The following is a 12,921-nucleotide window of genomic DNA, read 5'->3' as shown; positions in this document are numbered from 1 at the left end:
CTTGTTTGCTTTCTTAGGAAACATGACCTTTTAGATTTTAAACATGAATATAAAGCAAGTCAGGTTTTCTGAAATGTCTGGGGGTGGGGAAAGGCAACACAGCCAAGTGTCTGCAATGACTAGAGGGACTCAGGCTAAATTTGTGGGCATCTTCACTGCATTAAGCTGGTTCCAGGAGACACACAGGGGCTGGGTTAATAATCTATAATTTATGCAGTACCTGGCCACAGCCTGTTTTGCTGTTTCTTTAAACAATAGATATTTAGCTATATGCTTTGTTATTGTGTAGTTACTTTTAAACTTTAGTTTTCTTGATAATAAACCAAACATATATTCCAGAGTGATTTTTGAGAGCATTGGGATGTCTTTTACAGTTACTTTGAGAAATTTGGAAAATTTCAAGATAAAGAAACAAACTTGGCTGGGCGCAGTGGCTCATACCTGTAATCCCAGCACTTTGGGAGGCTGAGGCAGGTGGATCACTTGAGGCCAGGAGTTCGAGACCAGCCTGGCCAACATGGTGAAACCCTGTCTCTACTAAAAATACAAAAATTAGCCAGACATGGTGGCAGGCACCTGTAATCCCAGCTACTCGGGAGGATAAGCCATGAGAATTGCTTGAGCACAGGTGGCAGAGGTTGCAGTGAGCTAAGATCGCACCACTGCACTCCAGCCTGGGCGAACAAGACTCTGTCTCAAAACAAAACAACACAAAACAAACAAACCTCAAAACCCCCACACAACAAATCCTACATATAGTTCTCCGTAACCTGAATGATATTAAGAAATAAAATAAAAAAGTAGAACTTTTATTTGCACATTTCTTTGCTTCAGATGTCCACAGCCATTGGTTGAACTGGTGCCGTCAGATGAGAGATCCAACAGGCTCAGTCAAACTCTCTGGTGAGCCAGAGGAATCCCTGTTTGTTGGCAGCTTCTCGATCTGTTTGCAGAGCTGGCACTCTAGTGGCCTTTCAAATAAAGACATAAGGGGCCCTTGCACTTCAGCTTGAGAAAACAGCTCTCCACATGTTCTGCTCCAGATTTTTAGTATTCTGTGATGCTTTTGCTTAAAATGAACTGTAATGTTTAAATTTTTCTCTATTATTTGTCTGCCGTTGGTCTTTCTTACTTGCTTAGAACTGATCTATTTGAAATTGCATGTCAATCTAATCTGAGTCTGAAATTGTGCTTCAAAGAAAAATTTCAGTTATATTGAGCTAAATGTCTGTCTCTGCTCAGCATCAAATTAGATTCACTGCTATATGAGACCACTCCTCTAAGATTTTACTGCATATCGCTTCTTATATATAACTTCTAATCAGCTAAAATGATCCAGGTCCTTCAAACTCTACATTTGTTAACTGATTACTTATGGCAGGTGATATTTATGTTAACTTAATTTGTAGTATCAGAGTTCTGCGGTTAAGAGACTGGATCCTTTGAGCAGCAGGTTCAGTAGAAAATGGTCTTCACCTGCTCACCACAATCATTCCTCCAAATTATGATTACTTCTTCCCTAGTTTGTGAGACATCTGCCTCTGATATTAAGTGAGTGTAAAGTGGAAACATGAAGGAAACTTGGTACAGATGAGTTGCAATTGCTTTCCATAATGTCATTCCATTTTAACTCAGATTTCAGCTGGAGACAAAACTGAAAGACACTCCAAAGAGTTCAAAAGAGTAGTTTAAAAATGGGTGATTTAGATTCAGGCCATTAGTATGAAAATACTTTCCTAATTTGTTTAATCTTTGGGTTGTGCAGATTCTTCATTTCTGTCCATTTCTCAAGATTCTGACTGATGTGAACATTATTTCCTTATTTGTTCAGGGCCATGTGGTAAACCCAAGTGCCTGTTTGAGCCTACCATTCAGGTAGCCCCGAGATCACTGGCTTGCAGCTCTTGTCTTGGCAAATGTGACTTCCTTTATTTTGCCCTGACTGTCTCCTTCTGCTCTGCGGATGTCTCCTCGACGGTGGGACTAAAGATCTCATGGAAACGCATGAGTTCTCTGGCACTGCCCTCCACTCACTCATTCCCTCCTTCTCTTCTGCAAGGCATGGCCCTACTCGTGCAGCCTGGGAATGGAGTCTCTCTCCCTGTGCGTGTGCGTGTGTGGTGATACAGAACCTGCCTCTGCAGGACACGGGCACACACATCTGTGTATATGTGTGAGGTTTGTGAAGCAGATGTCTCAGAACCACAGCAGTAGCCGGATGGGAGGTGGGTCAGAACGTGCGATAAACACATTGATCCCTGAGGTCAGGTCTGGCCAGGAAGCCAACCCTGGGAAATCTGCTCGTGGGTCCCTGTGAAGAAGGCTGTGAGTCAGGCTGTTTTGTTTATTTTTTTATGCCACGAGAAGTAAAGTAAACTAGGTTATAAAAACACATTTTATTGCATTTTGAGATTTTTCTCATGAACAAACCATGCCTTTTGTTTTTCGTTTTATGTGAGGTTGCTGTAAAGAACTTGAGAAGCTGCACAAATGCTCAGCAGGGCTTCATTCTGCCCATGCTCTTGGCTGAACGACTTTATATGCAGGTTGCTCTATAGTTCGAACGAGATCACAAGACTGGCTCTTTAGGGCGAGTATCTGGACAGCACTCTAGCTTTTTATTACCAAACAATGTGCAGTTTAGCAAAATCGTCTCAATTCTGAAGCCAAGTCTATAAGGACGTTTACAAAGCAAACAATTTGTTCACTGTCTGACTGAATTCCGCGGGGAGAATACGCACGTATAGTCCCCACGTGTTTTATGTCATAAACAAAAAAGGAGGTCTCATTCAAAATGTTTCTTTAAGTCACAAAATGTATTGCCTAGGATGCACGCAATGTTTTAAAATTCCAGTCTTCCATAAAACTTACAGGAATTCCATCGGCACCAGGGAATCCAGAAACGCCTCTTGCTCCCTATGAAGAAAGCAAATGCAATTAACCAAGGCTGAGATACCCGCCACCCTCATGAGGCCAGGGGAATACACCAGCGGTGCGTACCACGTCGCCCTTGGGTCCCGTTACTCCGGGGGCTCCCCTTTCACCCTTGTCTCCTTTACGTCCCTGCAGTCCCGGGAATCCTTGTAATCCTGGTGGCCCATTGTACCCCTGGGGGCCCACTGGCCCAGGCTGACCCTGTGGGAACAACAAAGGTTCAATTTCCACGATTAATCACAATACATACTCATGATCAGTTACGGTTACTTTCAAAACTACATTTTTTTTTTTGTTTTTAAAGAGCTATAATCTACAGGGAACATTATATGTAAACTATCATCTACTGCCATGATAGCTAACAAAAGAAGTCATAGAGTTTAAGAAGAGAAAATATGGAATGTGAGAAAAAAATTATCCTAAATTACTAAAGTCATGTCATTGTGAAATGATAATACTGGGTTGGGATGAAAGAATTAACTTATTTGGGTTCTTTTTAAGGTCATTTCAGTATAAAAAATTTTCCAAATGAATTTCTACAATTTTATCTCTATTTTCCTCAATATAATGCATCCAGTAACTGTGGAAATGTGTATTGCATTCAAATATCAAAAAGACCCTCAGATGTTTAAGTGGTTAATCTCTCCTTTTGTTCACATAGAGGGAAAAAAAAGAGCTTCTGAAACATATAAAAATGTTTGTCCACACTAAATAGGATGGCTGTTATTAAAAAAAGTTATAAGTATTGGTGAGGATGTGGAGAAATCAGAATCTCCGTGCGCTGCTGGTGGGCATGTGAAATGGTGCAGGTGCTTTGGAAAACACTCTGGCGGCTCCTTAACACATTAAAAAAAGAGAATCACTACGGGATCCCACGATTCCACTTCTGGGCATACAGAAAGCAGGGGCTAGCTTTGGTACACTTACACGCACAGCAGCGTGATTCACAACAGCCAAAAGGTGGAAACCACTCAAGTGTCCAACAATGGGTAGACACCCACACAATGGAATAGGACTCAGCCTTTAAAGAGGAAGGAAGCAGTCACCTAGGCTGTGACACGGAAGAACCTTGAGGACTCTGTGCTGAGTGAAATGAGCCAGTCACAAAACGACAACTCCTGTATAGAGGCCCCTTATATGCAGTCCCTAGCACGCTCAAATCCATGGAGACAGACAGTAGAATGAGGGCTGCCAGGGGCCGGGCAGAGAGGGACAGGGGGAGGCAGTGTTTTCATGGGGACAGAGCTTCGGTTTGGGAAGATGAGAAAGTTCTGGAGATGGATTGGTGGTGAAGGTTGCACAACAACGTGAAAGAACTTAATGCCACTGAATCAGACACGCCAATATGACTCAAAAGGTAATTTCGATGTTATGCATTTATTTTATTTTATTAGTACCCTGGAACTTAATACAATAAAGTATCAACCCATCACCTAGGTGTTAAGCCCAGCACGTATTTGCTATTTGTCCTGATGCTCTCCCTCCCCCCGACCCACCCACAGGCCCCGGGTGTGTTGTTTCCCTCCCTGTGTCCATGTGTTCACATTGTTCAGCTCCCACTCATAAGCGAGGACATATGCATATTTCTAATACAAGAAAAATTTTAAAATGTTACATTAAAAAAATTAAAAATAAATTTACCACAATAAAAATGTTTTAAAAATGAGAAAGGAGGGGAGGGGAAGTTCTATCTCTCCTATGGCTGGAACTAACTATTGTATTATAGTTATATTTTAACATTTCACAGGCTAGCCCAAACTTAAAAAAACGTATGTCCTAATTTCCTCTTGAGACGAATGAGTCTGCTGTTGATTCATCACACGGCACCTTTACTTGCCAAGCCCCATTTGCTGTGAAATGTCAAATTCCTGTCTTGCCCTGAGATTGAGGGGGGAACTTGAGCCATTTTTCTAGGCTTTTCTTCTGTTGCCTCTAGGTAACTTCCTAGGTAAACTGTTCAGCTGAGACGTGTCTGTCTTCACAGAATGTTCATAATGCCATTCTCAGCAATCCACACAGTTGAAGTGAAATGGGAATTTAAAAACGCAGCCCAGGGTACAGTGTTAATGTCATTGAGGCAGTAGCATGGAGGGGTGTGGGAAGATCTCACCTCCAAATTCATTACTGTTCCTAACTGGCAATTCCTTGAGATGTTAGGCCCCAGGCATCACGGGAAGTAGTTAAGATGATTTTTTGGGGTGGAAGCTATCCATGCAGATTAAGGCTGTGGATGGAAGATGATGTATCCCGAATCTTGGGACCCCTGTCCCCTCAAACCAAGGGGAGCTGGGAAATCTCCCTCAGGGTAACCTGGTCTGGACCGAAGTCAGAGTTTTAGAGACAGTGGGTTCTCCTCTGCCCTCCACGTGTCCCAGAGGGGTCCTGTCAATGCCACATCAGTACTCACCTCGGGCAGCCTAATTTCAGGCCTCCTAAGTCGTGGTGAAGCTTGTGCACTTTAGTGTCTTTGGAGAACATTCTACAATAGAAGCTATTGCCACTGTGTTTCTACCTAGGCGAGGAGACTCATGGAAGATGGGTGGCCCTGGCCCTGGACGCACGATATCCCAGACTCATTCTATCTCCAATGCTTAGTGGTTTCCTACACGACATTTGTTGTTAAGTTTGGGAACAAACTATGTTTTGATTCCGACTTTTGTGGATCCTTCCCAGTGGTGCTCAATTTTGTTTAGTTTGTGGCTATGCTAGACTATAACCTTCTTAAGATTACATACCATGCCACGAAGCTCTACGCTCCCCTCACTATGTTGAGGCCTGCGGTTTGTTAGTGTCTGCCGGCTGTCTTCTGGGGGATAAAATGTTTCTTATCAGGACTGTCGCTTTATTGCCCATAAACTACATATCTATCCAGTGGGATTATTATTATTTTTTAGCCAACCAAACAAGCAGCAGTGACCAGGGGGATTATTTCATACAGTCAACTCAAAGGGAACATCTGCTACTAACCAAAATGGAAATATGCACGTCTTATTGATGAAAACCACATTCTTATCTGCATTCGTCAACCCTTCCTCAATTCCCTTTGATGGGGGAAAGTGGCTAACCACATCATGAACTCATTTTCCTTTCACTGTCAGTAAACCCCTTTCTCATCTTTATTTCTTGGTTAGGGAGTCTGACTTTGGAATGAAAAACTCTAGTCTTTCCTTTCCTGGAGTATGCTGTAAACTTTTCTTTTTACTGAAGTGAAATTCACATAGCATAAAGCTAACCATTTTAAAGGATACAACTCGGTGCCTTTCAGTGCATTCACCATGTTGTGTGACCACCACCTCTATCTAGTTCCCAAACATTTTCCTCACCCCAAAAGGAAGCCCCAAACCCATTAATCAATCACTCCCCATTCCCTTTCCTCCCAGCCCCTGGCAACCATCACTCTGCTTTCTGTCTCTACGGATTTACCAATAAATAGAATCAGTCATACGATGTGTGACTTTTTGTGTCTGGCTTCTTTTAGTGATCATGTTTTTGGGGTTCATTACCTCATTCACTGATGGCTGAATAATATTCCACTGTACGGATAGACCACAATGGGTTCATTCATTTGTTCGTGGACATCTGGGGTGTCTCTACCTTTTGGCTACTGTGGATAGCGCTGCTGTGAATATGTGTGTGTGAGTGACTACTTGAGTCTCTGTTCTGAATTCTTTTGGGTGTGTTCCTAGGAGTGGAATTGCTAAATAGTGCTGCTGTAAATATGTGTGCACGAGTATCACATATTTGAGGTATTGCTAAATTTCTTTTTCCACACTGACTGCACCCTTTTACATTCCCACCAGCAATGCACAAAGGTTCCAATTCCTCTGTATCCTCACCAATACCTGTGATTTTCCATTTTTTGGGCTATAGCCATTCTAGTAAGTGTCAAGATGGCATCACTTCTAAACAGTCCATCCTGAGCTTCTGATGAGATGGAACATTTCACAGAATTCCATCCAGCTTCCCCGCTGAGAGAGGGCCAGGAAGAGCCTGGGCAGAATGTGAGTTAGACCTTAGTCCTCCCAGATGGATCCCTCTCCGCTGTGCACAATGTAAAGCCTGCCTTGCTGGGATTAAATGGACATTTACAGCATGGCCCGAGGAGGCCACGCTTTGGTCATCAGGATGGAGCTTCTCCCCAGGATTTCCTGCCCACTAAGGAAGTGTGGTGCATCTATAAAGAGCAGCTGGGAGGACCAGGTACATGCCAAGGGTTTTCCTCTGTGCTAATCATCGTCCTTATCAACTTCCATCCTCAGTCAAAAAGTCCCGACAGGAAAAGTTATTTTCATCTCTTTCTTTCCTTTTGTGATAAGTGACATTAAAAATAAAAATTACTCCCAGAAAGTGAAAAGAGTCTAGTTTAAATGTCTTTGCATAAATCTCAAAAGCTCCTAAATTTCTAAAGCTCCTAATATTCCTCCAACATCCTTGAGAAAAATATTTCCACAAAGTACTCAGAAGCCAGGAGACGCTGTGGACAGGAGTGGTAATGTCATGTCCCCTGCCCCCCGCCCTGCTCCCACCACCAGACCATGTAGAGGTACTATTTCCTAAGAAACAGGATAATGAACAGTATCGTTGAACTGCTTCTATCTTTTGAGATGATGCGTTGTTACAAGTTTTAAATATGGTTTCTCTCATTTTGTCCCCACGGCAACTGCATGTAGTGACACGAACTCCAGTGGAGAGGAGAGAGGACAGGGGCTCAGATGGGACCAGTGTCAGGGCTGGCCGGGGTGCACTCAGATCTGGGGAGCTGGCTGACTCCACCAGGCCCTTACTGCTCCAAGGGAGGTCTGTGTCGGCGTCACCTGGGGGCTTGCTATAAATGCAGAGTCTCAGGCCTGGCCCCAGAACTCCTGAATCTGCATTTGAACTGATCCCCAGGATACTCCTTGGTACATAACAGTTTGAGAACCAATGCACGAGACCACCATAACCCCCATCCTGGCATTCCTGAGGGAAGAGATAGGTGACTTTCAATAAGAAAAACCTCTTAAGCATGGAGTTGGGGCTCAGTAGAAAGGTCTGGCTTACTGGGTCATGCAGAGGAACATAAGAGTATTTATGTGGGTTAAATATTATCTCTAATTCAATCAGTCTTGGCCTTATACTTCAGTGATATCTACAAGACAGACTCCATTTTGACTATCGTGAGGACGGGGCGCGGGGGCTGCCCATTGTTTTCCCTCTCTGAAGTCATGGCTGGTGCGCACATGGGCCATCCGGGCTGGTTTTGGAAGCTGCAGTCTGAAAAGGCAACAAATCCAGACTTGAACCCACATTACTCAAATACCACGACCGTGGAGAGAATGCGCTCAGGGTCCCGACACTCCCGCATTCATCAATTGGGGAATTTCACTTCTGAGAAAAGAGGCAAAAGATGATCAGATACGGGCACACGCAGTGTAGCCCTACAGCTTCAGACTTAAACAAAGGTGGACAGATGGATGACGCATCAGGGCCCCACATCACACAACCCTGTGGTTTCCATTCATTGTTCATTAACCTTAAAATATTCCCTGGGTAAGGGAGTAGAAAGAGTTTCATTTATCAGAGAAGGATAAAAACAGTGTTGCCCAGGATAAAACTGGCTTCACTACACATCAGGATTTTTAATCTACAGTACAGTATTTTACTGGTAGAATAAGAATGAGCTTTTCATGACTTACCAGCCGAAATCTGAATAGTAGGAAATCCCTTCTCCTTCCTAAGCGGACTCTTCCTGTCTCACCTTTTATGGGCACTGGCGCCCAGCAGACGCCCATATCCTCTCCATTCCCCAGGGCGGACCCTCCCTCCCTTCCGCAGTGTGTTCCAGACCTTCAAGGCCTGTCCAAGGCTGCAATTCCTGGTGATCCTCCGGGGATTCCAACCTAAGACCTAGTTAATTTCTGTGAGCTCTTTGCCACACATTTCAAATACGTAAAATGTCCCAAAAGGTGGAAAGGACTACTTTTTAGGCTCTAGAAAAATAATTCCACCGGCCAAAATTTAGAAATATTCGTTGATTTTGAGGATGGTCAGTTAGCATTTCTGAGCAATTTTTAGACTACCCTGGCAAGATGAAATTAGTAGCATGTTCCAAGGTAACAATAATGTAAAGGCTAGTATTTGTACAGTATATTACACAGATAACTATCAGCAGCCTATTCCATGCAACACAGAGCTGAGGTTAAGTTGGACACTTTCTATCTCTGTCTCCTTATTTAGTATATAAAACATTTGTCCCACCCCTGGGTACTATTCTTTATTAAGAATTTCAGTTATATGAGGTAGAACTATATGGACCCTTGGAATTTCTGCCCTCCAAAATTATGTGATGCAGACTGTAGCACTAATGTCAATACAAAGTAAGTAACATCCACATGTAAAGAAACACACCTTCACCTTTATGTCACTTGATATACAGACATTTACTCCAAATGGACCTAAATGTAAGAGCTAAAGCTGTATCGCTTCTAGAAGAAAACACAGGGGAAAATCTTTGTGACTTTGGATTAGGCAAAGCTTTCTTAGATAAGACACAAAGATTACAACCTATAAAAGAAAAAGTTAGCTAGATTTAAAAAGTTTGATTGTCAAAAGATACAGTTAAAAATAAAAAGGCAGGGGACAGACTGGGAGACATATTTGCAAAACACATATCTGATAAACAACTTCTTCCGGAACATATAAAGAACTCTCAAAACTCAATACTAAAGATATGAACAATCCAACTGCAAAATTTGGCAAAAGATTTGAGCAGACACTGCACCAAATAAGTTGTACACATGAAAAGATGCTAAACTTCAGTGGTCATTAGGGAAAAGCAAATTAAATCCACAGAGAGATATAACTGTGATGGACTCAAATGGTGAACATACACAGAAAAAGGTGGCCACGCCAAGAGCTGGGAAGGATGGCACCTCGAATTCCATGGGCTGCCGGCAGGAACGCAAAAGGGTGCAGCCTCTTTGGAAGACAGTTTGGCAATTTCTTCTAAAGTTCACAGGACCCAACAATCCCACTCCTAGGTATATACCTAAGAGAAACGAAGGCCTATATCCACACCGAGACCTGTATGAGAATGTTCATCCTGGTTTTATTAAATTAGCTCACTCCTGGGATTGCTATTTGGCAATAAAAATGAACAAAATGCCCGATGTGTGCAGCAGTTGAGGCTGAATCTCAAAGGCATTCTGCTATGTGAAGGAAGCCAGACACAAAATGCTACTTACTGTCTGATGCTATTTTTATGACATTCTAGAAAAGGCGAAACTAAAGACAGAAAACAGATGAGTGGCTGCCAGGACTGGAGGTGGAGGGGAGGGACTAACTGAGAGGGCACAAGGAAAGTTTCTGGGGTAATGGACCTTCTCCATAGCATGATTCTGGTGGTTCTATCGCTGTATACATTTGTCAATATTCAATGACTTGCATGTCAATTATGCCTCAATAACCTTGACCTAAAAACAAACAAACAAAAGAGGAGCTGAGTAAAGGCAAAGATGAAGAAGACAAGCTGTGACATCACAGGCATGTTGCCCGGCGACCGAGATTATGTCCCTTCCAGGTTTTCCTGCAAATGAGCTTATGTGATAGAGAACAGTTCGAAAAGGAAGGAGAGTCTACACCTTTAAAGTGACATTTGGAAAAAAACACTTAGCCGAATGCTTTTTAAAAATGTCTGCCAGGGGCTGGGCGGGATGGCTCATGCCTGTAATCCCAGCACTTTGGGAGGCTGAGGCAGGCGGATCACTGGCCAACATGGTGAAACCTTGCCTCTACTAAAAATACAAAAATGAGCCAGGCGTGGTGGTGGGCTCCTGTAGCCCCAGCTACTCGGGAGGTTGAGGCAGAAGAATGGCGTGAACCCAGGAGGCGGAGCTTGCAGTGAGCCAAGATCGTGCCACTGCACTCCAGCCTGGCAACAGAGTGAGACTCTGTCTCAAAAAAAAAAAAAAGAAAAGTCTGCCAGGGAAATAATCTGAAGAAACCAAGACCTAGCTTTCCTTGTATGGAATCTGGTCTGTCTGATGGTGATACTGACAGAAATTTCGAAAACTGTCTGGGACACAGCCCACAGGGCAGCAGAACTGAAAGTGGGTCAGGACCGAATTAGATTCAGGAGTGAAGGCGAAGTCTGGGAAGCCACTGGTTTCTGTCATGCTTTATCTCTATAGACAAATTTTCAAATCCCAGAAGGTACCACCTATAATTCTAAGATGCTATTATATAGTTTTATCTGAAATGATTTGACTGGGGTAGATGTACATTTTAAAGCAGAGAAAAAGTGGATGATCTCCTCTTCCCCACCCATAGTATCAGTGTCTGAAAACCCCTGCTCCTTATTCTAAAAATAGGCAGCACATGGGTGGTTGTGCTCAATGGCTTTTAGCCCAAACTTTTTATATTCTGGATATGATTTTGCCTGGCATGTGTTGGAAAAGTTGATTTTCTGGGAAAGCCTTTTATTACCTCTGTGCTTTTAGCAATAAATGCATTTCATTTGTCTAAATGTGAATCATTGTGTAATAGACTGATGTGATTTCCTAAGCCTGCTTGTCCTCTAAGAAGACTTGGAGTCTGATTGTGGATGAGTTCAGGGCCCTGAGAGCCCAGACTGCACCTGAGGAAAGGGCCAGGAGGAAGCAGATTCTGGAGCTGCAGGCAGCATGCAGAGAGCTTTGGCTGTCAGGCCGCGAATGGGTATGAAACGCTCTTTCTAATTTAGCACTGCTGACATGCAATGTGTCAATGCTCAGAGCATCACCCTCATGCAGCCTGGATGTCATGAAGAGGTTACGGATGCTGTGCTGGTGGCCTCCACTTACACGGTTAGAGAGTGACAATTAGCATAGGCGGCAACTACTGAGCTACCAGGATCACACGATGATTGGCAATTAAAAGAGCTAATTGTCTATACTTACGACCTCACTCACAGGCGCAGGTTACTAATTTTCATGTGCCAATGGCACGTGCCAATATTTTCCTGGTATTCTTAGGTCATCTTCACACCCAAGAGCATGGCATGACTCATGGCTGAGATGGTGTGTTCCCATTGTGCCATGTGACTGTCATTACCCCATGGGGCCTCTGCAGGTAGTAAGCAGCTAACAGCCCTGCAGAGTCTGCCCCAGGTGGAAGCAGAGAGGAAAGGCGTGTGGGTGGCCTTCCAAAGGCGGGCTCCCGGTGAGTTGAGCAAGCAGGCCGCCTGTCTTCCAGGGTGACTGCTCAGGATCTGTGGCACAGCCCAGGGACAGGACCAAGAGTTATATCTATTTTGCATTTAGACTGAAAAGCGGTCTATATATATGAGAGAAAAAAAAATTCTTTAAGTTAGCATTATATTGAGTTGGTTCCGCTACGATAATACAAACACACACCACATTGGCCAAGTAAGAAAAAAGGTTACGAGCCAAAAGTGGGGCAGTGGGCATGGGGAGGGGGTTTGAACTGGCTGTGATGCACAGCTTTTTTCCCCTCTTATCTTTATTTGAAATGTTCCTGAATAGGACATGCTTTAAATAGAACTCCACCTTTTCTGTTGTTACAAAATGCTTGATAACCACCATTGTCCTTCTCCTCCTTTGGCTACTGCCTAGTTAACTGTTAATTTTATTTTGACTTCATTTTCTTACTCCTTTAAAAAAATTTTATCTTTTAATTTACATACAATAAAATTCACTTTTTTTGGTGTGTTATTTGGTGTGTCATTAACAGACACAACAAATAACAGAGTTGTGTAACCACCACTATCAGCAAGAGACAGCAAAGCTCCATATCACCCAACATTCTGGGTGTTGCCCCTTTGTTATCAAATGCTCCCTTCTCCAAACCTCGGTCCAACCCTCATGTTTCTCCCTCCATGTAGTTTGCCTTTTCTAGACACTCACAGAAATAGAACCACGCAGTGTGGAGTCTTGAGCCTGGCTCCTTTCACTTAGCACAATGCATCTGAGATTCCCCCAGAGTGCTGCTGCTACAGAAAGACAGGGGAAA

At 43.3% G+C, this 12,921-nt stretch overlaps 1 protein-coding gene across 1 annotated transcript in view; it reads right to left on the bottom strand.

Annotated features, from left to right (window-relative positions):
- COL4A2 (collagen type IV alpha 2 chain) overlaps positions 1-12,921 on the bottom strand; it is a 205,926-nt gene that overhangs the window by 85,341 nt on the left and 107,664 nt on the right. The window contains exons 5-6 of the mRNA NM_001846.4: positions 3,001-3,135; positions 2,872-2,916 (exon numbers count right to left, since the gene is read on the bottom strand). Coding sequence (NP_001837.2) covers positions 2,872-2,916; positions 3,001-3,135 — 180 coding nt within the window. The remainder of the gene's footprint in view (positions 1-2,871; positions 2,917-3,000; positions 3,136-12,921) is intronic.

The sequence above is a fragment of the Homo sapiens genome, chromosome 13, assembly GCF_000001405.40.
Source record: "Homo sapiens chromosome 13, GRCh38.p14 Primary Assembly".
NCBI classification, from domain to species: domain Eukaryota; kingdom Metazoa; phylum Chordata; class Mammalia; order Primates; family Hominidae; genus Homo; species Homo sapiens.
Note: the sequence above shows the minus strand (reverse complement) of the source record. Positions and strands in the feature narration are given on the sequence as shown.